Here is a 23,205-nt window from a genome sequence, read left to right on the forward strand (position 1 = left end):
ACTACTGAACTGAACACTGCATTTTTAATTTTTTTTTTCTAGAGACAAGTTCTCACTCTGTCACCCAGGTTGGAGTACAGTACACATCATAGTTCACTACAGTCTCAAACTCCTGGACTCAAGTGATCATCCCAACTCAGCCTCCCTAGTAGCTAGGACTACAGGTGCGTGCCACCATGCTTGGCTAATGTTGTTTTTTGCTGTTGTTGTTTTTTTGTGGAGACAGGGTTTTGCTATGTTGCCCAAGCTGGTCTTGAACTCCTCAAGTGATCCTCTCACCTCAACTTCCCAAAGTGCTGAGATTACAGGCATAAGCCACCAGACCTAGCCTGAATTGAACAATTTAATTGGGGGAATTGTATAGTATGTGAATTATATCTCAAAGCTGTTAGAAAAAAAGGCACAATGGATGTGGGGTTATCGACTGTGCAAATGGCCCCAATTCTTCACTCCCTCTGTATCCATGCCCTTTGCCATGTGACTTTCTACTTTCTCTCATGGGGTGGGTTAGGCTATTCTTGCATTGCATAAAGAAATACCTGAGACTGAGTAATTTATAAGAAAAGAGGTTTAATTGGCTCATGGTTCTGCGTTGTACAAGCATGTTGTTGACATTTGTTTGGCTTCTGGGGAGGCTTCAGGGAGATTTTACTCATGGCAGAAGGTGAAGCGGGAGCAGGCACGTCACATGGCCAGAGCGAGCAAGTGAGAGAGAGAGAGAGAGAGAGAGTTGGGGGAGGTGCCACACACTTTTAAACAATCAGATCTCATGAGAACTCACTTATCACCAAGGGGATGGCGCTAAGCCATTCATGAGGGATACACCCCCAGGATCGAAACACCTCCCCACCTTCATCACTAGGGATTACATGTCAACATGAGATGTGATGGAGACACAGATATCCAAACTATATCATGGAGTAATTTCCCTATTCACTGAATCTAGGTTGATGTTGTAGCTTTGTCCAGTAGAGTGCAGGGAAATGATTTGCTGTCACTTCCAGGCCTGGGACTTAAGAACTCTTGCATGTTTCCATTTGGCCTTTGCTCCTCTGCCATTGCCATGAGAACATCCCTGGATTAGTTTGATAGAGAATGAGAGACACGACACAAAGAAGTTTCTCTTCAATCATCCCATCTAAGGTCATCCTAGATCAGCCAATAGCCACCCAGTTCCCAAGCATGTGAATGAGCCCAGCAGTGACCAGAAAAACCACCCAGTCAAACCGTAATTGTCAAATTTTAAACTTACAGACTAATTACATGTTTGTTGTTTCCAGCCAGTGTGTTTTGGGATTGAAGTATTTGTATGAAAATAGGTAACTGATACAGCAGGATAACACAGCATTCACTGTCATCTCAGGAACTTGAAGGAAGAGAATAGAGAGGATAGGTAATGAAATTTAGCACTTCCTAGACCTCAAGTCCTTTACAGAGAAGGGACTTGGAAAGTTAAATATTGTGTGTGCATGCATAAAAATATAAAAATGTGAGTCAAAATTAATACAAGGTGACTGGAAATTCCACGGTGACATTTAAAAATATATAGCATATTCTATTTACTGCCTCATAGTGATTACGCTAAAAAAAAAAAAAAAAAAAGCTTAATTTTTTTTTTTGAGATGGAGTCTTACTCTGTCGCCAGGCTGGAGTCAGTGGCATGATCTCGGCTTACTGCAACCTCCACCTCCCAGGTTCAAGCTATTCTCCTGCCTCAGCCTCCCAAGTACCTGGGACTACAGGCACGCACCACAACACCTGGCTAAATTTTTGTATTTTTAGTAGAGACAGGGTTTCACCATCTTGGCCAGGATGGTCTCAATCTCCTGACCTTGTGATCCACCCACCTTGGCCTCCCAAAGTGCTGGGATTACAGGCGTGCGCCACCACACCTGGCCAATTTTTTAAATATACAACTTTACCCAAGCAAATCACATCTGCGAAAAATATATAACTTCAATTTATTCGTGAGAAAATGTCAGTAGTGGGACAGTCTACTAAAAAACTGACCAGTACTCTCAAAAGTGTCAAGTTCCTGAAAGGCAAAAAAGATTGAGGAACTTTCCAAGATTGGAGAAAATAAAAGAGATACAATTAAATGAAATGTGGAATCGTTGGATTTTGGAATAGAAAAGGGACATTAGTGGAATAATTGGAAAATTTTGAATAAGATCTGTAGATTAATTAATAGTAAAAAGTATTAAATCAATGTTCATTTTCTGGTTTCAATAACACTACTATGAATAAATAAGTTGTCAACATTTGGGGAAGCTGGGCTCAGGGTTATACAAGAATCACGTGCACTGTTCTGCAATGTTTTTGGAAATCTAAATTTTTTTTTAAAGTTAGACCACAATTATAATTTTTTAAAAAGGGGGAAAGAGTATACATAAAAATGTTTACAGCAGCTATTTTCCACAAATAATTTGTTGACATGCCAGACATTATTTTGGTACTAGGGCTACAGCAATCAATGAGACAGAAAAATCCCTGCTCTTATGCAAGGCTCTCTTCTTCATAAGGTAAACAGAATATGTGTAAGATCATTTGAGCTAGTGTTAAATACTGTGTAGAAAGTAAATCAGGGTGAGGGAGTAGGAACAGACGGTATGGGTCACTTTAGCTGAAGTGGTCAGGACATCTCTCTTTGAGGGGCTGTTAATTGAATGAGACCTGAATGACCTAAGGAACTGACTTTGTATGGAAAGGACATTTTGGGCAGGTTAAAAGCAAAGCAAAGGCCCTGGGGCAGAAGCAAGTATGAAGCGTGTTAAGAAGAGGAAGGCCAGCCTAGTCAAAAGTGGAATGTTACTAGCTTTCCAAATCAGACTGGAGGAGTATGCATCTTCCAGAACAGGTAGCTAGCATCAGGAGTTTGCATTTTATGTACAAAAGGAAGTGATCGGGTGGTTTTAAGAGGGTGGGACATGATGTGACTGGGATTTTTTAAAATGTCATTTCATTTTTTGTGGGAAATGACCTGCAAGAGGAGGAGGGCAGCAGAAGTGAGGCCTGTTGGGAGGCCATTGCAGGAGTCTAAAGAAGGAGAGTTGGTGGCTTGACTAGGGTGGTCAGTGAAGTGGCAGAACAGCGACTGGCCCTGGATGTATTTTGTGGTAGGTAGAGCTGAGTAAATTTTACAGATGGACTGAATGTGCTGGTACAGGGAAATAAAGGAATCTAGGATAATTCCTTGTTTTCTTGTCCAATTTGGGTGGATTTTGGTGCCAATTACCAGGGAAGAGTGATGGAGGAACAGTTTTCTGGGGGGAAAATCAAGAATTCTGTTCTGAATATATTAAATTTGAGACTTTTTAAAGACCATTATTTTATGTTTTTGCAATGATTGAGTAATAAATATATGTAAATGTATTTTTTAGGAGCTTTACATTTTAGGAAAAAAATGAAGTTGGTTTTGGGAACATTCAAAAATGTTAGGCAAACTGGGTGCTTAAATTATTTAAATAAAGATGGGGGTATATCTCACCTGGAAAAGTGAATGAGAGAAGACTAATATATAGGACGAAAGGCTCCATCCTAAATAGAAGCAGTTTTAGAATGCACAAGTGATGTATTAAATTTATTCCTGGGCGTGAACAATGATGAGCATCCATAAGTGAACTTTTTACAACTGTCATCACCCACATAAACACAACATTTTTCAAAAGAAAAACAAAATCATCCAACTGTCCTTCAAGTTTAGAAAAGAGAACTCTGCTCAAATGTGCATGTAGGAAGAGATATAATGGTATGACAACTTCTCTTTCTTTTTCTTTAAAGGAACAGTGCACAGGGAATCTGGAAACTATAGGAGGGTAATTATTGAGAGATTATGGTATTGCGGTCAAGGGTGTGGACTGTGGAGCCCAGTGATCTATGCTCTACTCTTATCTCCACCACTTACTGGTTGTATAACTTTGTTCAAGTTCTGTAACCTCTCTCTGTGCCTCAGTTATATCATCCGTAAACCGAGATAATAATATGTAGTAGACCCTGCAATGCACCCCACACCCCCTCCTCCCAGATTCTACTTCACAGTGGCTGGGAATATTACCAGAAGATGGCCCTTAACTGTCAGTCTTTTTAGTGGATTGTCTTGGCTGAAGAAATTCTCTCCCTCAAGGTCACACCTCCTTCCAGGGACAGCCATATCTAATGATTGATCAACATGGGGTATAAAGGCTTGGCCCCATCACTCCAATTCAGGGAAGCTAGAAGGGACTTCCCAGCTCCAGAGTTCCAGATGGAGTTGGCTGAGGCTTCCATTGGGCCTGCATTCCAGCTCAACTGCTCACTTTGCTCAATCCTGCTTTCTTCTCCTTCTTTCCCCAGGTGTTGATCCCAAGACCACTCCCTAGTAAACATCTTGTAATCTAATCTCCCTTTTGGAGTCTGCTTCCCAGGGAGCCTGACCTGCAACATAAGAGTACCTTCCTTATAGGGTGATCCTTAGGAATCAATAAGTCACCATACATAAAGCATGTGAAAGGGTGCTTGCACATAGTAAGTGGAATGTGTCAGCTATTATTATTGAAGCAATCCTCTTATGAAGCTATCAACTCCTGCAATTGTCTTTATTTTTCCCTCAGTCATAAAAGGCTTGTTATAGTGGTTTGAGTTAATTTTCCATATGTTGCAAATAAATTTAACTGGCTTTAGGTGATGAGAAACGGAAGAAGAAAACAGGTTTCTGACATATTTGTTGCTATTGGAATCCCCACATTCTTGTCAGAGAGGCTGTCTCTGTGTTTGCAACCTGACTATAAGCATCTTCTCTGTTTGCATATTGTGTTTTTCTTTTAATTGAGAAAAGGTAGGTGTGAATTATTGTATTTTCATTAGGCTTGGATTACATACATGTCCCGATAAAGGCACCTGCATGACAAGAATCTGCATTTGTAGGGTCTTCTCCTGAGATGAGAAGAAATCAGTATCTTCAGCTTAGTTTATTCTGTTCAGACAGAAAGAGTTCTGATAACCAGAGGGCTGGATCTAAGCTCATTTTGTCACTGCATTTTTTTTTTTTTTTTGGTCTGGTTCATAAGCACTTGATCCTTGTGGACCAAAATAGAGATTGAACTTTTCCCATAAAACTGAAGCTCTAAAAAAACAAAAAGGAAAAGCCAGAGAGCTCCCATACTCAAAAGGAAGGAATACAAGACCACATAAAGCTAAATTTAAAAAATAAATGTTAACTCAAAAGTCAGATTATACATTAGATTATGCCACATTAAAACATCAGGAGAAAGAAGAATTGACAAATGCAAACTGGCTGAAAAGTAGAGGCTATGGTTGTTAAGGAAGATGTCATTGTTTTTCTTACAATTCTCCAAAGAGCAGTAGCTGTGTAAGTTAGTTTAAACCATGTATACAATATATACAGCATATGAGTATATTCTTCTTCTAACAGGAAAGCCAAAAATTCTGTGATCCCATTTCCCCGTATTTGTCTATTATTATTCCTTAATACAAAGCCTTCACACAGCACAGTTTTGGAAGTAATCACCAAAGAGGTGACCCTCCCTGTCCTGTTTAGTGGGAGTTATGTGCTGTTTGCCTCTTATCCACTCTTGATCATTTGAAGGCCTTTGGCTCACATGAGACTCCAAGCTACTATCCCTGGCAATCAGGATACATATCCTCACATCAGTGGGCACCTCGTTTCTCAGCCACAAGTTGAATAAATTGGGAGAGGCTGGCATAAAGCTCAAGTTTATCATTAATGTCCACCCATTTCACTTTCTTGGCATCATCGCCAGCTTCCAGAGGAAGATGGTCCATTATTTCATCACGGTAGTTCACAGCCTCTGTCTCTATCCAGCAGTTATCTGTGTTTCTAGAATCATCCACGTAGCCTTTATAGACCTCAAAATGTTCCTGACTGAGGAGTTTGTGCAATTGTCTCTCCAACTCCTGCATTTCTTTCCTAGATTTCTGTAAAGAGTTCATGGCTTCCTCGCCAAATTCTCTCTTCAATGTAGCACTAATTTTCTCTCCTGGATCCACCATACCCCCTGGGATTGCCTATTCTCCACAGTCCTTCCTTTTGATGGCTACAAATTGCAGGATATTTTTTCCAGAAATAGGGTGGATAATTTCGTTTCCCTTGCTATCCCTTTTCCATCTGGTTAAGATGGAATCTACAGCATGATTGGGGCCCCAACACCCCAAAGGCCCTTGGCCAACCAGTCCTGTCCGAGGTGCAGGATTTCTAAGTCTACCCTTCTCAATCTCATATAAGCCATGCTGGTTCCTTCTCTCCACATGCCCATCCTTTTCGTTAAACTTAGGAGAGAAGTTCCTTTCACCCACTTGAGGGTCTGCCCACACGGGCCCAGGCAAGACAGAGCTGGCAATGTACTCCACGGGCGTTACTCTCGCCACTCGACCAGCCAGCTCATTTTCTCATGGGGAACCAGGCTTCGCTCCACCTTGGAGCCAGGGTACGGAGATGTCCGGGCCTTCTCGTGGGGCTTCTCAGCAGTGCGCTTCGAACCTGACGTGATGAAGTTTAGAGAAAACCTATGTGAGGAAAACAGGCTCCAGCTGGCCAGGATGTTGGGGCAGCTGCCGGGCCTGCCTGTCACAGAGGCCAAGGTCATGAAGGGAGACACGGTCGCCTGTCACAGAGGCCAAGGTCATGAAGGGAGACACGGTCGCTAAAGCCTTGGACAGGCGGCGTCCAGCCATGCAAGCAAGACCCAGCGGCCCGAGGGGATTTCGGTTGCTCTCTGCGTGGGGGCGCAGTCTCCACTGCAGATCAGCACCCGCCCGCGGGGAGGTGGCCACGTTTCTCTCCTGAACACCAGTTGATGGCCCGCCTTCCTAAAAGGCCGTGTGGCGTCTCCAGTGGCTACAACGGGGCGCGCCAATGGCTCGTGCGTGGAGGTAACGGTGCCGCGGGGTTGCCAGGGGCGTACCACGACCGGGCCGCGCACTCTCGCTGCCGCCCTGGCGTTTTGGTTGTAAATTGAGAGATTTTGACCTCTGGAAAAGCTCCCAAATGGAAAGTGCTGGGGTTGAGGACATCTTCCTAACGACAATAAAATTAGCAAAGGAGAACCACCAAAGTGCCATTAGCCCACTAGCCATTTACCAGTAAATTTAGTTCACAAGGTTTAGGATGCTTTCTGTTAGGGAGAGGGCAGAATGAACGTGGGGTTAGGAGTGGACAAAACTCCCTGTTTGGGATGCTCAGAAGCCGAGTGGGGGTGGCCTAAAAAAACAAGGGGGACTCACCTGGTACACTGAGCGTGGTGCTGATGAGAACTCCATGAGAGGGTGTGATGAGCGGAGTATGTGTTCAAAACGTGGGTCTATCATTTACTACCTGAATGGTTTTGGCAAGTTCCTTAATCTCTCTTTTCCTAGGAGTATTTGCTACAGAATGCCAAGTACTGTGCCAAGCACAAAAGAGTGAACTGAAGGCTGGACCACGGGCCCTTTGCTTTTAAAATGATTCTGCTCGGAGAGGCAGCACATTTTTATTAATATATATATATATATACACACACACACATATATACATATACACATATATATACACACATATATATATGTGTGTGTGTATATATATATATATATATATATAGAGAGAGAGAGAGAGAGAGAGAGAGAGAATTAGCACTGAAAGGGCAATGCCAGGTATCAGGTAAAAGTCGAACACAGGTTAAAAACCCAGCTCTAATTCCTCCACATGCCACTTTCTTGGGGGAAGTTACATAAGCTCTCTTCAGGTTCCTCATGTGTAAAATGAAAATATTAATAACTACCTCATAGGGCTGTGGTGACAATTAAGTAGGATGTTATAACACATGTTAGCTCAACGTCTGGTCCACAGCATAAACTCAATAAATATTAGTTGTCATCACTGTAATTATCGTTAACTTTTTTGATTCTGCACCTTGAAAACTGTAGATTAGAACAGGACAGCTGAGATGATTATGGGAACTGAGCAGCTCACATATGAGGTCAGAATTAAACAGCTTATGGTTAGAGAAAATCAGGATGAGAAATAACAGAAATTCAGGCTGAGAAATAACAGCATCTGTCCTGAAATGATAAATAATGAGAAGAGGCACGGTCTTAGACATTACTCAGAAGGAAACAAGCCCTAGGGAAAGGTATCTGATCATTTGAAACAGTCCCATTAGAAAGATGTTCAATGAGTAAATGATTTTATGGTCAAATATGTTTGGGGAATTCTACATATTTTATCACCCTGTCCCCTTAGAAATTCAGGGTTCACATTAGTGTTCTAAAGATCCTGAAAATTTCTATAAACACAAATCAACATTAAATTGTTTAATTTTGTTTCATCTGGTATTTCCATTCTCTGGTTAGAAACATTCTAACCAGAGAATGTTTCTTTTTTGCAATAACTGGTAACATATTAGGAACATACTTCCTCAAGTTTAGAAAGGTTTCAAAATGTATATGTGTGATTGAGGGTAGATCCCTAATCATTTGAAGTTATTACTATCATCATAACTATGGAAGGCAGCTACAGAATACATACCCAATGCCCTCATTAAACTCCAAACAAGATGAGGCAGGTTTCTAGAAGGCTTGAAACACAGAAATAGCTGGGGCTATGGGGAACAAAATGGTAGAAAAGGACTGAGAACAGAGAAATATGAGACATAGTCATCCTTAACCATCATTGTCATCAACATTGTTGAGGGTTGGCTGTGCGCAAAGCACTGTACAAAGTACCACTGGGAAAGAAAGATGATCCTTAAGGGACACAATCCCAGCTCTATAATTCTTGTCTTTCTATGCCTCAATTTTTTAAATCCTGGAATTCTATTCCTGCAGGTCTCCTGAAAATGTATTAAGAAAACCACTGATACAAAAACTTAAAACATTTGGGGAAAATATACTGTGAATTCCTCATTATTTCCAGGTATCCTACTCCAACTCATAAGAAACAAATGGAGCAGATGTCTTTGGTATGGTTCCGGCTTCCTCCCATCATAGGCTTTGTAGCTTGCATCTGACCCTTGGCTTCTTTGGGTCTTGGTTCCTCACTAGAAAAGGAATCTGTTGGCCTCTGTTACCTATAAAATTCCTTCAAGACTTAGCATTTTATGATTCTAGGATCTATGAAAATCTCATTATTAGAAGGGCAAGGTCAATTTTTGCTACGAATCCAAAAGACTAGATGTTCAAATATAAACAGCCAGATGCTCAGGGGGAAAACACACTGTTGAGGAAAGGAAAGGAACAGGGAGGGTATGGTGTGCCACATACAAGGCAGAAATATAATAATTCATGGGTACCTAGAAAGGAACTTCAAAACCAGTAATAAGGCATTTTATTCTATTTTTAGCATCGTCAGCAGGCAGAAGATGGTTAGATAAGACCATTTGATGATTGTGGTGCAAAAGATACCCTAGGGGCAAGAAATAAAATAACTGTAGTAGAAACCAAAAGAATTATTTGCTGGGAAGCCACTGGGGAGATTCCCTTTCTTAAATTGTCTTCTGAGGCAGAAATGTCTGAGGTAGAACAAGCAGAGCTACACACAGAGAATTTTCTGGTTCTATCCACGAGAAAGCCCTAAAGGAACTGTAAGGGGCAATCAGAGAATAAATCTTTGGCCTGTCACTATGAACTATGCCCGAGTCAGAGATTGCCTGTGTCATTCCCATTTTATAATATTAAGGATATTATGAAAGGCAAAGTGGATATGGGGAGGACCAGGGTGATTACAAGGTCCAGGCAGTGCAAGAACCCCTAACCATCCTTCCTACCTCTCTTTGGGAAGTACAAACAAGTGGTACCCACCACATTTAATTATCAAGAATTATCCATCTCTTCCGAAAGTGATGCTAAGGCTCAACTTCAGAAACAAATCTTGAAGGAAAGCAGAAAAATGGTTTTCTCCTCTCTTTAAAGTGGTAATAATGATAATAAATAACAAATTAACTACTATATACTAAGTTATTTCCATGTAACAGAATGGTGTACAGGTTTGTCCAAGTAAGACTGCCCAGTTTTGAATCCTGGTTTAGCCACTTCTTAGCTAGTTGACCTTAAGCAAGTTTTTAAACTTCTCTGGGCCTCAGTTTTCTCATCTAGAAATAATAATGGTATCCATGTTATAGGGTTGATGTGACATAATTCATTTAAATAGCTTAGACTAATGTTTGATCAATAGTAGGACCACAACAAATAGTTATTGCAACTATTACTATTAAGTACTTTACATTTGTTATCCCATTTAATTTTCAAACAACCCTTTGAGTTAGGCACATATACTAACAATATCAACAGTTAACAGACTGAGGACATTGCAATTCATAGAATTAAATGTGCCCAAGATCACATAGCTAGTTATTACTATATATTTCAGAACCAGAAAGGCTTGACAATATAAACTCATATTTTATTGATAGTCTGAATGCATGTTGAATTTGATTTTATATGGCAAAATGGCACCATTTTACTATGCCTATAAAATTTTTGACTGAAGTTGGTTCTTCTGCTGGGTTCACTCTGTAAGAGGAAGAATTTGGAGACAGTGAAACCATTAGCAACCTATTGTAATAACAGTTGTAAAGAGAAAATGCCCTGATTCATGGGAAAATTCAGACAAAAAAGACAAGCAAGAGAGACATCCCAAAGTGGAAGTAGAGGCCTAAAGAGAAGGAGTCATCAAAGATCGCCCATTTTAATCCTAAAGAGCCCAATGGATGGTGGTGATTGGCATAAACAGGGAAGCCAGGAGGGGAGTTGACAGTGGGAAATTCACTTTTAGCTGTGTTTTAAGGACACATGATAAGAGGATGGAGCATGGGATGAGTGCTGTGGGAACTGGAGATTCCGCCACTAACATTTTTGTTCCTCAATTTCCTCTTTCAAAAATGATAAGTTGATCTAGAATTAATCCTTTGGATTCCTTCCAACTTCCTAGAGGAAGCATGTAAATGAATTAGAGGAAGTAGAAGGTAGATTTCAGGAATTCAAGAGGCAGTGAGTGATCAAGGTATTGGATCATTAGTCTGGCCTTGAAGTAAAAGAGAGAAGTGGGACAATTACTTACTTTTTAAGATTAAGACAAATGGTGCCTTTTAAGAAATGACTTAGGCAGGATTAATTAATACACCCATATGTAGAATACAGGCTGTTGACAATTAACCTAAGAAATCTAAAGTAAAATGTGTAACAATGAAAGTCAAGTAGACTTTATTTATAGGAGAGATAAGCTTCAGTTTGTGTGGTGTGATATGAAGGTGTTGGGAAAGTCCAGCTGCCCCAAAAATGTCTTCCTGATCTTCTTAAAATACTGCCTGGCTTTACACCATTAAAATAAACCTCTTTAAATGTACTTCATAATATAAAATGCACATTTATTTCACATTCAGCTGTTACCATGCTTTCCGGTGCATTAGGGTAACAGGATGACAACTAGCTACGGCGAACTGAGGAGACAAAGATTTGAAGGGGGAGGAGGAAGGGATTCCTTTGGTATTTGGTGCAGCATTACTCAAGTCAGTCAGTTCAACAACATGTGGCTGCCTATTATACTCCAGATATTGAGCTAGGTTCTAGACATTAAAAGGCAAGTAAGTTGTGGTTCATTGCCTCAAGATGCTTATGGTCAAGAGAGAGTGGACTACATAAAGGTCATGGGGCTGGAGGAGTTTTGAAAAGTGGGACCAGCGACTAGGTAAAAAGGAAGAGGGACAAAGAAATTTGTTCTCTTCCATCACAACTTTGTTGAAGAATTAGATACCCCAAACAATGCTTTTTCTTGGTCCCAGTGAATCCCCCTAAGGAACTACTAAAATTTAAGCTGGTAGAGTTGACACCCTGTAGGCTGAAGAATAACAGATAATTTGAATATCTTTAACTCAATATTTTTGGCCCTTTGAAATTTAAATTAGTAAAATTTTACTATATCAGAACTTGTAACCTAAACAGTTGACTATAAAATACAGGTTTGCTGATAATTTTTCCTGCTCCCTTTCTCCCCTGGAACTTCACAGTATGCTAAGATTGCTGAGGACTGGTGGGGGGATCCAGGGCTAGCAGAAGCAGGAAGCAGGAAGCAGGAAATGTAGAGAAATTGGAGCTAGAAAGATAACTGAGCACTTCTTTAAACAGCAGACTAGAGGAGCACCATATCTTCACAGATGGTGTTAAACAAGCATCATAAGACATAGCTTCAAATAATGCAGGGAACATACAATTAGGGCCACAAAAACTTGGGGTACCAGTTCTAGTTCTGGTATTTACTAGCTGGATAGCCACAGGAAGTCATAATTTTTTTTTGCCTATATTTAATGAGTACTGTCTATATGCCAGGCACCTATAACATGTCTATAATTGACTGAATGTTCATGGCTCCCCTCAAATTCATATGTTGAAATCCTACCCTCCAGTGTGATGGTATTGGGAGGTGGGGCCTTTGGGAAGTAATTAAGTCATGAGAGTGGAGTCCTCATTAATGGGATGACTGCCCTCATAAAAGGAACCCCAGAGAGCTCCGAGGCTCAGTGTCTTTTCACTATGTAAGGATACCATGAGAAGTCAGCACTCCAGAGGAGGAAGAAAGGCCCTCAGCCAACCCCTGACTGTGCTGGCACTCTGATGTCATACTTCCAGCCTCCAGAACTGTGAGAAATGAATGTTTGTTGTTTAAGCCACCCAGTTTATGGTAGTTTGTTATGGCAGTCTGAACTGGGCAAGAGTGTTTTACATATGACGATATTTCATTCTCATGACAACCCACTGAAGTAGATTCTATCATTTTTCTCTATTTTATAGATAAGAAAACTTACCCACAGATAATTCAAGGTCAGATAAACTAAAATTTGTTAAAGTAGGGATTTGAATACAGGTAGTCAAACTCTAATGCCCATGTTTAATCATTATGATATCCCAGGTATTAAGTCTTTTGGGCTTCAGTTCCCTCACTTAAAACTGGACACGTTGCACCAAACAATGTTGAAAATTCTTTCTGGCTTTAAACACTATGATTCTAATTATATAAATCATATCTATATTTAATACGCTCATGGTTAATCTGTGTTTCGGAATAGTCTCAGAGAACTGAGAGCTGAAGACAAGTTTCTGAAATATGGCTTCATTTCTTAGTTATCCCTTGTTTCAGTCAACGTAAACCACATAATTTACTCTTCCACCAAGAATACCCTTCCTCCATTTCCATCTGTTGAAAATCTATCCATCCTTCAAGTGCCAGCTGAAATGCACCTCCTCTAAATAGCCATTCTCAGTCTTTGGGGATTTAAAGTGCGGATGTATTAGACTGTTGGGCGTTGGGATTTGGGCGAAGTATCTGTGCTAATGAAAGGAAAAGATGTAGGATAAGAAGAAAGGTTGCAGGGAACCACGTACAGGAAAGGTAAGAGAACCGTCAGCAGTGTTGTTGGTGACGGGCACAAAGCCTTCCTTGTGACAGGCAATAGCAAAGTCACCAGATTATATTAAATGTTGCCCAGCTAGTAGGAGTGAGATGAAGATTAAATGAGAACGTTTGTAAAATATCTACTACACTGTCTGGAAGGGCAGCAACAGGATAATTCCTAATCTCTTCCTTCCATAGGCAACTGGTCATCTCCTTCATGCTGAAGAAAGCTGCCATCCTGCCCAGGGAGGAGTAGGACAAGAAGAGGGGAGAAGAGACTCTGGGGGGGAAAAGAAGTCAGGCGGAGATATATGGGAACACAAAGAAAAAACGAGAGCCAGAGTACACAAGACGAGACAGAAAAAAGAAATGTAAGGGAGTGACGGCGAAGAAGAGGATAGAACGGTAATGGAAGCAGAAGGGCAAAGAGGGACAAGTAAGAAGGAGAGAATTCTAGGCCTCGGGAAGAGAAAGTTCCTGCTGCACTGCGGAATCCGGCCTAAAGGAAGAGGCAACCAGGTGCAGCACCCAAGCCCAGGTGCCAGTCATTTGCCGCTGGGCTCTCAGACCCATTCTCCTTTTGCGGCTGTCACATATTCTGTAGGGATTCTGAGCCCTGCCCTCTGTCATCTTGTCCACTGGCTTCTCCTGCTTTCCACCACTGGGTGGGCTTGGAGGGTGGGAGGCAGGGAGAAGCCAGGGGGACTCTCATCCCCTACTTTGGAAGATGTCTGCCGCAGTAGTTGCACTAACTTTGTGGCTCCAACTCCTATTGGACAAGCCCTCCAGGGTTCCGGCTGTCTCCTCTCTTTGCCCCTCCAGCCTCAGGGGAGAAGGCACGTCCAGCAGTTGCTAATCTCAGGATTGCCTCACCTTACCCTAGTTGAACGTCCAGTTCTTTCAACACTTGTAACTAATTTGCTGCATTAAATTATTGCTATTGACTCGCTTGGGAAAGAATACTTTCGCTGGATTCACTTGCAGAGTTCAAAGACACTTTTCCTAATGGGACTGCAAGCAGCGCATCGGAGAAAAAAATCTAGCAGTCCCAGGAGTCAAGAAGGGTCAGGGTCTACTTCAGTGTGTGATCAGACAGCGACAAACCCACACTACCTAACAGGGCCGGAAGGCTCTTAGCCTAGGAATTAGCTGTAAAATGACTGGGTTCATGTCTACTTTTTCATGATTTACTCTATTCTCTTTGATCACCGCCAGCCTTGGCTTAAGGAACATCTCTGTAGAATTCAATTTTATTCCTCAAGGGTTACTTAAGTGCCCATTATGAGTATGGAGGGCACATAGCTAGGTGTGGTGGGGAGGAGATATAGAGACGCAGGAAAAATGGAGGGCATGCTCAGTTTTTGGAAGTGTTTGCTTCCTGCAAGATGAGGTTTGCGGACCTATCAGGAGAGCCTCTTGATAAAGACTCCTGAACTTTTCCAGTCTCACCAGAGCTGCAGACACTCGGAGGCAATATTAGTCTTACAGCTTTCATTTCTCCCATCACCAGAGCTCTGTTAAAAGCAGACTCCTCTTTAAGGAATCCACAGATCAGAGAGGGTACAGCACATGCACACAACTGACCCCCAGGTCAGAATGATGCCAGCCACAAGGGGGGATTCTGCTTGGGGGAGCAGGAAGACTGCACAGAGATGGTAGGAGACGGCTACAGGAGCTGAGTCCAACAAAGTTTGACAGGTGGAGGCGGCTAAGGGGTATTCTGGCAGAGAACAGAGAAGGATCAAAATAAAGTGTCAAAGGACAGACACATTTCAGGTGTTGTCTGTAAACGGAGGCTTTGGGGTGAGGGTAGGGAAGTGGAGGGGAGACTGAAAAATGGAGGCCCAGCTATTGAGGACTCTGAGAATGAGGCATTAAGGCTCGAGGCCATGGTGAGTCACTGGAGGATCTTCAGCATCAGGGCGGCAAGGTCACTTCTGGTGGGGTGGCGGGGGTGGGGTGGGGTGGGGGGACTTTGCGATTAGAAGCAAAGAAGCTGGAGGCAGGAAAAGAAACTGCGAGCTCTCGGGTGGAGGGCAGCTTATACGGGAAGCCTGGACTTGACCATCGCCAGGGAGGCATACTGACATTCGAGCTGCCTTCCATCTATTCAAGGGCACGCTTCCTCCGTCTGTGGGGGGAGAAGGTGCCCCCTCAGAGGCTGTACGATTCGAAGTCTCCGGCCTGAGAAGTTTCGAATTTCTCCTTGCCAAGGTCGGGCCACTACAGGTGGGAGACTGCGAGCCCCGAGCGAAAGCTTGGCTTCACGCCCGCCCGGGGCAGCCGCCGCGGCTCGTCCCCTCCAGGCCTGGGCACCGCCGTGGGCCGTGCCCGGCAGGACGCTCCGGGAGCTGCGCGGCGGCGGCTCGAGGAGGCCTGGCGGGCGGCGGCGAGAGGCTGTGCCCCAGTTTGTGTCCAATCAGGGAGTGCGGGCTGTGCCCCGAGCCGGGCAGCAATGCGTAAACAAACCCACGGTAACTCCTCCGCCCCCTCGGCGCGCTCGCCCCGCGCCCGCCGCCGCCAGCGCCGCCGCCGCCGCCGCGGGCTCTGCTCTCCTCGCGCCCGCCCGCCGGGCCGGCCCAGCCCCCGCCCCGCGCCGCTCGCACCCCCGCTGCCCCGCCCCGCCCCCGCCGGCGCGGGCTCCCTCACCTACCGCCCCACGCGCGCGCGCTCGCGCACCACGCGCCCCGCGCGGCCCGCCCGGATCGTGGCCTCTCGAGAGCAAGGTAAGGGCGATGCGCGGGGACCCAGGCGGCTTCCCCGCCCGACGCGGCCCAGGGAAGTTTCTGGCGTGGCTGTTTTCCGCGGGGCCGGGGGGGAGGCCCCGGGAGCCAGGCGAGCCCGGCGGGCGGGAGGGGGCCGCCTGGCGCCCCGGGGTCACAAGTTGCCTAACCTGACCTCGGTGCGGGCCGGTGGGCGGCGCGGCCGGGCTGGCGGCGCGCGGAAAGGGGCTGGAGGCACGGCGGGGCCGGGCGCCGGGCGGGCAAGGGGAGGGCCCCGAGGAACTTTCTCTTCCCCAGAGGGGCGCCTTCCAGTCCTGGCCGCGGCCCCGCCGCGGGAGCAGCGGCTCCCTGGCTGGAGGGAGACCATGAAATGTGTTCGAAGAAGCTGACGCAGTTTGTGACGCTCGCGGCTTCCTGATGGGGACCGGCAGCAGCGGCGCCTCCGCCGAGGAGGGACGACCTGAGTCGGCGCTCGGGCCCTTCCCCCGCCGGCAGCCGCGCGCCCCGGCGCCTAGTTTGGGGGCCGCTGGCTCGGGGCGCGAGCATCTGCTCCCGGCTGCGCGCGTCGCTTCCGTTTTGATTAGCTCAGGTTATTATATAAGATGTCACGGAGAGGAAAGGGGCGAGCGAGAGGCGCGTTGGGGAGGGCGCGGTGGCCTTCCGCGAGTGGCAGGGAGGGGCAGGAGGCAGGACCCGGCGGGACCCACCTGTACGCCCTCCGCGCCCCCTGCGGGCGCTGCCCGCGCGCGTGCCGGGGTGGTGGGGTGGGGGGGCACGGACGGACGTGCCCGCTGCTCCCATCCCCTCCCCGCCAACACTCGGGCAGCGGCCGAAACGTGCTATTTTTTCGCTGCCACCTCTCCTGGGTCTACAGGTTTCTGGCCCCAGGCGTTTGTACTTTGAAACATTTGTTTAATATTAAGAAAGCTGCGTGTGCGGCCGTCATAGTACACCCGGAACGTGTGGCCGTGAGCTCCAGGGCGGTGAATGAATCATCGCCCCGCGGACCGGGCCCCGATGATTCATGCGGGGTACACACACGCGCGCGTACTCGCTATGTACCTCTGACCCAGGGAGAGTGGCCCCTCTGCAGTGATGACGCCCGGAGGGGCGGGGAAGACTTAGTGCAAAAGGACAGCGGGGTCCCCCCCTTCCACAATAACTTGTGGGGGGGTCAGGGACGCCCGGAGGGACGGGGGAGACTTAGTGCAAAAGGGCAGCGGGGTCCCCTCTTCCACACTAACTTTTGGGGGGTCAGGGTCCACACATTCCCCAAGGCTTGTTTTGCGTTCTCGAAAGAGTTACAAAATTCCACCTGGCTACATTAACCGGTTGAGGAGCGCTGGTTCGCTGCAGGGCTGGGTCCTGTCTCATTCAGTATTTGGTGTCAAGTGAGGGAGGTATCAGACTCTGAAGGAATCCTCCTAGTAATTGCGTCTACCTAACTGGTTCTGAAGTAATTAGAAAAATTTTAAAAGTGGATCTTAAAAGAAGACTCCTTAAGACTAGTTTTTTGAGGGTTTTTAAAAAGCCAGATCCTAAAAGGAACCTCGGTTGCCATTCATGAATACAGAATTTTTCCCAATGTGATCACTCTCAAAGATTAACTTGACTCATTCCCACCTCACATTAGTAAGACTGAATAAAGTTTTCTCATCATTTAAGACTCACCTCAAACGGCATCTACTCAGCCAGGCCTTCTTGATCGCCTTCATTATCTCCTGTCCCCTCCCCCAGGAGCCACCCCATAATACTATTTTATTTTCTTCACTGCGCTTAATCGCTATCTGATCTTACTTTGTTTAGGAGTTCTTTTAGTCTGATCTCTTCTTACTGGAATGTAAGCTCCACTATGCTAGGGATTTGGGCTGTTTTGTTCGCTGCTATAACCCTAGCACCTAGAACAGTGCCTGGCATATATGAAACACTTAGTATTTGTTGAATCGTGAATGAATAAACTCTTTTCCAGATTTCTTGGTAGGACTGTTTTTGACAGTTGAAATTCAGTGCTTTTTTTTTGTGGGAAAGTCACCAAGTTGGTGCAGTTCTAATTTTCTTCTTTTTCCTCCTGGTTTTCTTTTGATTCATTTTCTGCTCTGTGATGTTAACCTACAGCACAACAAGGGTTTGAGCATCATATCCTAAGACACTTAGTATGAAAAAAGATAAAGCATGTGGAGCTCTGTCAAGAGAAAGTATGTTACTATGTAACTTCTGGATGATTAAAAATATTATCTGTGCTAGTTGAAGAAAAGGTGCAGGATATTGAAATGGAATCAGCAAAGTCAAATCCCACAGTCCTATGTTTCCACTTATTTGGAATACTAATATTTCCATATCTTCCCTCCCCACTGCCTGGAAAACAGCCTGAAGTTTAGCTGCAGTTTGGGAAGGTTCATAATAAATACCACTTAGTATGAAGGTTTTTTGTTTGAGGCAGGGTCTCTCTCACTCTGTTGCCCAAGCTGGAGTGCAGTGGCGCAATCATAGCCTCAACCTCCCAGGCTCAAGTGATCCAATATGAAGTATTAATTTAATCAAATGAAAACAGGATTTATGCTGCAGAGGCCTTAACTCTGATTTGTTGTTGTTCATGTCGGTAATGCCACAGAAGAGTACATAAAAGGAGTTATTTAAAATTATATTTTAAACATCTTAAATGGATTCTAAAGAATTACAGCTATAAGTCAGTGATATAATGTAAAAAGGATGTGTATGTCATATTTAATAATATCCCTTTAGAGGATAAACTTTGATAAAGTTTATATTATAAATCAACTTTGGAGGCATGTTAATTAGCCCCAGTCTTGTAGCAATATTTTCAGGACTCAGTACTTCTGAAGTTAGTGCTGAAGAAGAATGGGCTTCTAGCAGTTCCCTTTCCATAATAGTAGCTGTGATCACTTGCAGAAGCATAATCTCAAGAGTAAGCTCAGAGACAATAGAATTTTAAAGCTAAAAGAGACCTTGAAATTACTTGGCGCAGTTCATTCCTTTTTAATCAATCCCTTCACTAAAGAAACTAAGGCATAGTGAGATGACTTGCCTAAGGTACAAGGCAAGAGTCAGAACCAAGAGTCCTGACTCTCATAAAGAGCTTAAGTGGTTGGAAGTTCCTGAATTAGCCAGAGCTGCTATAGGTGGAGAAGAATGGTTTCTATCATTAGTTGATTGTCTGCCTTTTGCTTGTGAACTCTCAGAGGGAAAAATAATGTCTTATTCACCTTTGTATCCTCCCATGTGCCTGCAACATCTAGGGGCTCAACAAATGCTTATTGAAAGCAGTTGGATAAATGGGTTTTAAGTTGAAAATATATTTAGGAAGTGAAAAAGCAGGAAAACATATCTCCTTTCCACATTGAAGAAGTTTTCTGACAACAGAATTAGATATTGGCAGTAAATAACCTAGAATTAACCTTAGAACTTTTACAATAATGAAACTACTGTTTAATTTTTATGCCTCCAGTTTTTTTTTAAAGTCTTAAAACTTGTAAGTGTGCATGTTTGCTTACTTGGTATAATTATTTACTGGAGAAACAGGAGACAGGAGTCAGGACATCTGATGGGTGTTGCCTCTGTCACAGCATCCAATAGAAAAGCCTAGACTTTGCAGCCAGTCAGATTTGGGGCTAAAACACAGCTCTGCCCCTAATAAGTAGAGCTTTCCACAGCAAGTTACTTAACTTTTTGGAGCATTCTGTCATCTCTAAAGTGGGGATAATGCCATCTACCTTGAAGGATTGTGTGAGACTGAGATAATGTATATATATAATGTGTGTGGTGTATAAAAGGCTCTTAATAAATGGTAACTGCTATAGTTATGACTACAGATTTGTGTGACCATGGGAGCAGCTTAATCTCTCAGAAGTTTCAGTTTTTTCAATCGGAGAATAGGTGGTCAGGATGGGGGAGGGGAATGACCGATTTCTAAGATCTCGTCCAGCTCTATGGTTTCAGAAACCAATAAAGAAATATACAGTTCTCCTGCAATTTTAGTTAAAGGTAATTCATATATCCTTGATCCAACAAAAACTACAAAAATGGTTAGTTTCTAGACCTTCTTAAGAGTTTGTCTAAATTAACTTTTATGATAAGTACATTTTCATTATTTTATATGCTATATGATGGATATGAAGTTAACTTGAATATTTCAACCTCTCATCCAGCTTACTATATATATAAAGCAATATAAGAAGAATACTGGTTAATTAGACATAGATACTCTTTCTTTAAGAGGCTTAAGAGTCATGTAGAGCACATAAGACAGATAACTAAAGGCTGTTTTACATGGGAGAACTGTTAGAGAGGCATAAAGAAAATACTTTGTGAATTCAGAGGAGGAAAAGACTATTTCTAGCCAGAAAAAAGGTAAGACTTAATTAGGGAATTTTGAGCAAGGCTTAAAAAATTGAGACGACTTCAATCGGCAAAAATGTAGGGACCAGCCTGTGCTAAGACTTGAAGGTAAGGATATATGAGCATGTCCAGGATTTGAGAAGAATGTGGTTAAACTGGAGGTTGAGGAGCCTGGAGGCAGTATAATGGGAGAGAATGCTGCATGGGGAGGGGAAATTAGGACTATATTGTGCAGCATCTTGAATGCTGGGCTAAGGAGACTGTTTAGTTGGCAGTAGATAAGTATCAGAAATATTTTAAATGGGGGAATGATGTGATCAAGACTATGCTTTAAGAGATTAATCTTCATCACAGGAGCCACAGGTAGTCCATTTAAGCTGTTGAAATATTCTCCAGAAGAGAAATGATGAGAACCTAAATTAGGGTGGAGGCAGATGAGTTGGGCAAGATACTATAGAAGTGAATAAAACAGAACTTGTTGGCAATTGGATGTAGGAGTTGAGGAAGAAATCAAAGACAGAAGCTCAGTCACTTAAGTTGATGTTGGCAAGGATTGAAATAGGAAGGGACACTAGTAAAGCACCTGCAAGTAGTCTGCAATCAATAAATATTTGTCTAATTAATGGAGGTGATTATTGGTTTGGATTTGGATGTGTTAACTTGTATGTGGCTATGGACCATCTAGATGGATGAGAGCCATTAAAAATACAGAAAGATTTGGGGCATCCTTATGGAGGGGGATGGTGAACCTGTCAGAAAGTTCAGAGTGTGGTGAGCAGAATAAAAGGCTAGGATAGAGCCTTGTAAAAGCCAGTATTTGTGGACTTGAGGGAGATAGGAGGAGGTAGACAGGATGCTGAGAAGAAAGAAGCAGGAGGGGGATGAGGAAAAGATTGGGCAAAGAAAGATAAGGAAGGAGATTTCGAAGGATCCTGATAGGGTAGAGGATGGGCTGAGTTGAAGACTGGGAAAAGGACATTAGATTTGTCAGTGAGACCATCGTCAGTAGCCTTTGAGGAACAGAGTCAGTTGGGCAGTGGGGATTAGTGGGGACAAGTCCGCTAGTTACCTGAAGAATGCTGGCTTGGGAAGGAAATGGAGAAAGCAAATGTAAATTGTGACTGGACTGTGAAAATCAGAGACTAGGGATAGGGAGAAGGCAATGACTTGAGGCAAGAAAAGTGTCAATGAAGCTTTCTTAAAAACAAAACCGGCAGGGCATGGTGGCTCACACCTGTAATCCCAGCACTTTGGGAGGCCGAGGTGGGCAGATCATGAGGTCAAGAGTTCCAGACCAGTCTGGCCAACATAGTGAAACCCCGTCTCTACTAAAAATACAAAAAACTAGCCGAGTGTGGTGGTGTGTGTCTGTAATCTCAGCTACTAGGGCTGCTGAGGCAGGAGAATCACATGAATCTGGGAGGCGGAGGTTGCAGTGAGCTGAGATTGCACCATTGGACTCCAGCCTGGGCGACAGTGTGAGACTCCGTCTCAGAAAAAAAAAAAAAAAAAAAAAAAAAAAAAGAAGGCTTGATAACATTTGTGCATTGTGCGTAGAGTGGTTGCAAGTGCAGAGGAAAGGAATGAAGATCGAGGGAGGACGTAGGAGGGCAATTAATACACTAGGCTCTCCTCAAGCAGGAGAGATAGGATAGGGTAACCATACATGCAATTGCCCAGGGCAGTGCTAGTTCACACCAGTTTATTTACGGTATAATATCTGGATACAGGATACAGGATAAAAGTGGATAATAATGCCCAATTTTAATCTTAAAAGAGAGCCTATTTTTGAATAATTGAATTGATTACCCTAATCATGATGCAAATAAAGAAGTTACTTGTGGGAAAATATGGCAAAATATAAAGAAATAAAAGATAGCCTGGTTGGAAAGGAAGAAATAAACCTTTGTTTGAAGATGACATGATTGTTTATGTAGAAAACTGAAAGACTCAACAACAACAAAAAAACCTCCTGGAACTAATAAGCAATTACAGCAGGGTTGTAAGAGACAAGGCTAGTATATGAAAGTTCATCACTTTTCTATATACCAGGAATTAACAAGTGGAATTTGAAATTAAAAACAATCTCATTTACATTAGCACCTCAGACAAAACAAAATACTTAGATATACATCTAACAAAATATGTATAAAATCTATGTGAGGAAAACTATCAAATTTTGATAAAAGAAATCAAAGAAGAATTAAGTAAATGGAGATATAGTCCATCTTCATAGGTAGGAAGACTCAATATTGTCAGGACTTCCCAACTGTATTCATATATTTAATGTAATGTCAATCAAAATCCCAGCAAGTTATTTTGTAGATATTGGCAAACTGACTCTAAAGTTTATATGCAGAGGCAAAAGACCTAAAATAGCACAATACTGAAGGAGAAGAACAAAGTTGGAGGACTGACACTACCTACCTTCAAGGCTTGCTATAAACCTATAGTAATCAAGACAGTGGTATTGGCAAAAAATTAAACAAATGGATCATGGGACAGAATAGAGAGCCCATAAATAGACCCCAATAAATACAGTCAAGTGATCTTTGACAAAGAAGCAAAGGTAATACAGTGGAGAAAGGATAGTCTTTTCAGCAAATGGGTGAGGCTGAAACAACTGGACATCCATATGCAAAAAAAGAAAAAAGTTAATCTAGACACAGACTTCACCCGTGTCCCAAAAATTAATTCAAAATGGATCACAGACCTGAATGTAAAACTGTAAAACTCCTAGAAGATAACATA

General features: G+C 43.4%; 1 protein-coding gene, 1 long non-coding RNA gene and 1 pseudogene across 9 annotated transcripts in view, besides 6 other annotated features; 1 reads left to right on the forward strand and 2 right to left on the reverse strand.

Annotated features, from left to right (window-relative positions):
- Positions 1 to 550: 550 nt before the first annotated feature.
- Positions 551 to 1,588, reverse strand: LOC124902481 (uncharacterized). Its single transcript, XR_007062241.1, has 2 exons — positions 1,253 to 1,588; positions 551 to 1,075 (listed from the first exon to the last, which is right to left on the reverse strand). It is a non-coding gene; the product is annotated as an uncharacterized LOC124902481 (long non-coding RNA).
- Positions 1,589 to 5,554: 3,966 nt separating this feature from the next.
- On the reverse strand, positions 5,555 to 6,217 carry NUDT9P1 (nudix hydrolase 9 pseudogene 1; annotated as a pseudogene). The gene has a single exon (NR_002779.2). The product of NR_002779.2 is annotated as a nudix hydrolase 9 pseudogene 1 (transcript).
- Positions 6,218 to 9,238: 3,021 nt separating this feature from the next.
- PCGF5 (polycomb group ring finger 5) overlaps positions 9,239 to 23,205 on the forward strand; it is a 128,119-nt gene continuing 114,152 nt past the window's right edge. For 4 of the 7 annotated variants that reach the window (NM_001257101.2, XM_047425843.1, XM_047425846.1 and 1 more), the window contains exon 1: positions 16,013 to 16,101. The gene's annotated coding sequence lies outside the window, so the exon portion shown is untranslated. Of the gene's footprint in view, positions 15,605 to 16,012; positions 16,102 to 23,205 lie in introns of those variants that run through there. The other 3 variants (XM_017016776.3, XM_017016777.3, NR_046435.1) reach the window with 3 other exon arrangements.
- Positions 15,498 to 15,587: a silencer, noted in NCBI's record as "silent region_2602". NCBI's record gives its function as "represses an Ori minimal core promoter by ATAC-STARR-seq in GM12878 lymphoblastoid cells {active_cell/tissue: GM12878}" and the evidence as "EXISTENCE:reporter gene assay evidence [ECO:0000049][PMID:35858748]".
- Positions 15,688 to 16,357: a silencer, noted in NCBI's record as "silent region_2603". NCBI's record gives its function as "represses an Ori minimal core promoter by ATAC-STARR-seq in GM12878 lymphoblastoid cells {active_cell/tissue: GM12878}" and the evidence as "EXISTENCE:reporter gene assay evidence [ECO:0000049][PMID:35858748]".
- Positions 16,558 to 16,897: a silencer, noted in NCBI's record as "silent region_2604". NCBI's record gives its function as "represses an Ori minimal core promoter by ATAC-STARR-seq in GM12878 lymphoblastoid cells {active_cell/tissue: GM12878}" and the evidence as "EXISTENCE:reporter gene assay evidence [ECO:0000049][PMID:35858748]".
- Positions 17,148 to 17,277: an enhancer, noted in NCBI's record as "active region_3761". NCBI's record gives its function as "activates an Ori minimal core promoter by ATAC-STARR-seq in GM12878 lymphoblastoid cells {active_cell/tissue: GM12878}" and the evidence as "EXISTENCE:reporter gene assay evidence [ECO:0000049][PMID:35858748]".
- Positions 17,148 to 17,710: a biological region, named in NCBI's record as "H3K4me1 hESC enhancer GRCh37_chr10:92923911-92924447".
- Positions 17,174 to 17,710: an enhancer, noted in NCBI's record as "H3K4me1 hESC enhancer chr10:92923911-92924447 (GRCh37/hg19 assembly coordinates)". NCBI's record gives its function as "activates a minimal SCP1, AML or CMV promoter by ChIP-STARR-seq in naive H9 embryonic stem cells {active_cell/tissue: H9 hESC(naive)}" and the evidence as "EXISTENCE:reporter gene assay evidence [ECO:0000049][PMID:30033119]".

The sequence above is a fragment of the Homo sapiens genome, chromosome 10 (genome assembly GCF_000001405.40).
Source record: "Homo sapiens chromosome 10, GRCh38.p14 Primary Assembly".
Lineage (NCBI taxonomy): Eukaryota > Metazoa > Chordata > Mammalia > Primates > Hominidae > Homo > Homo sapiens.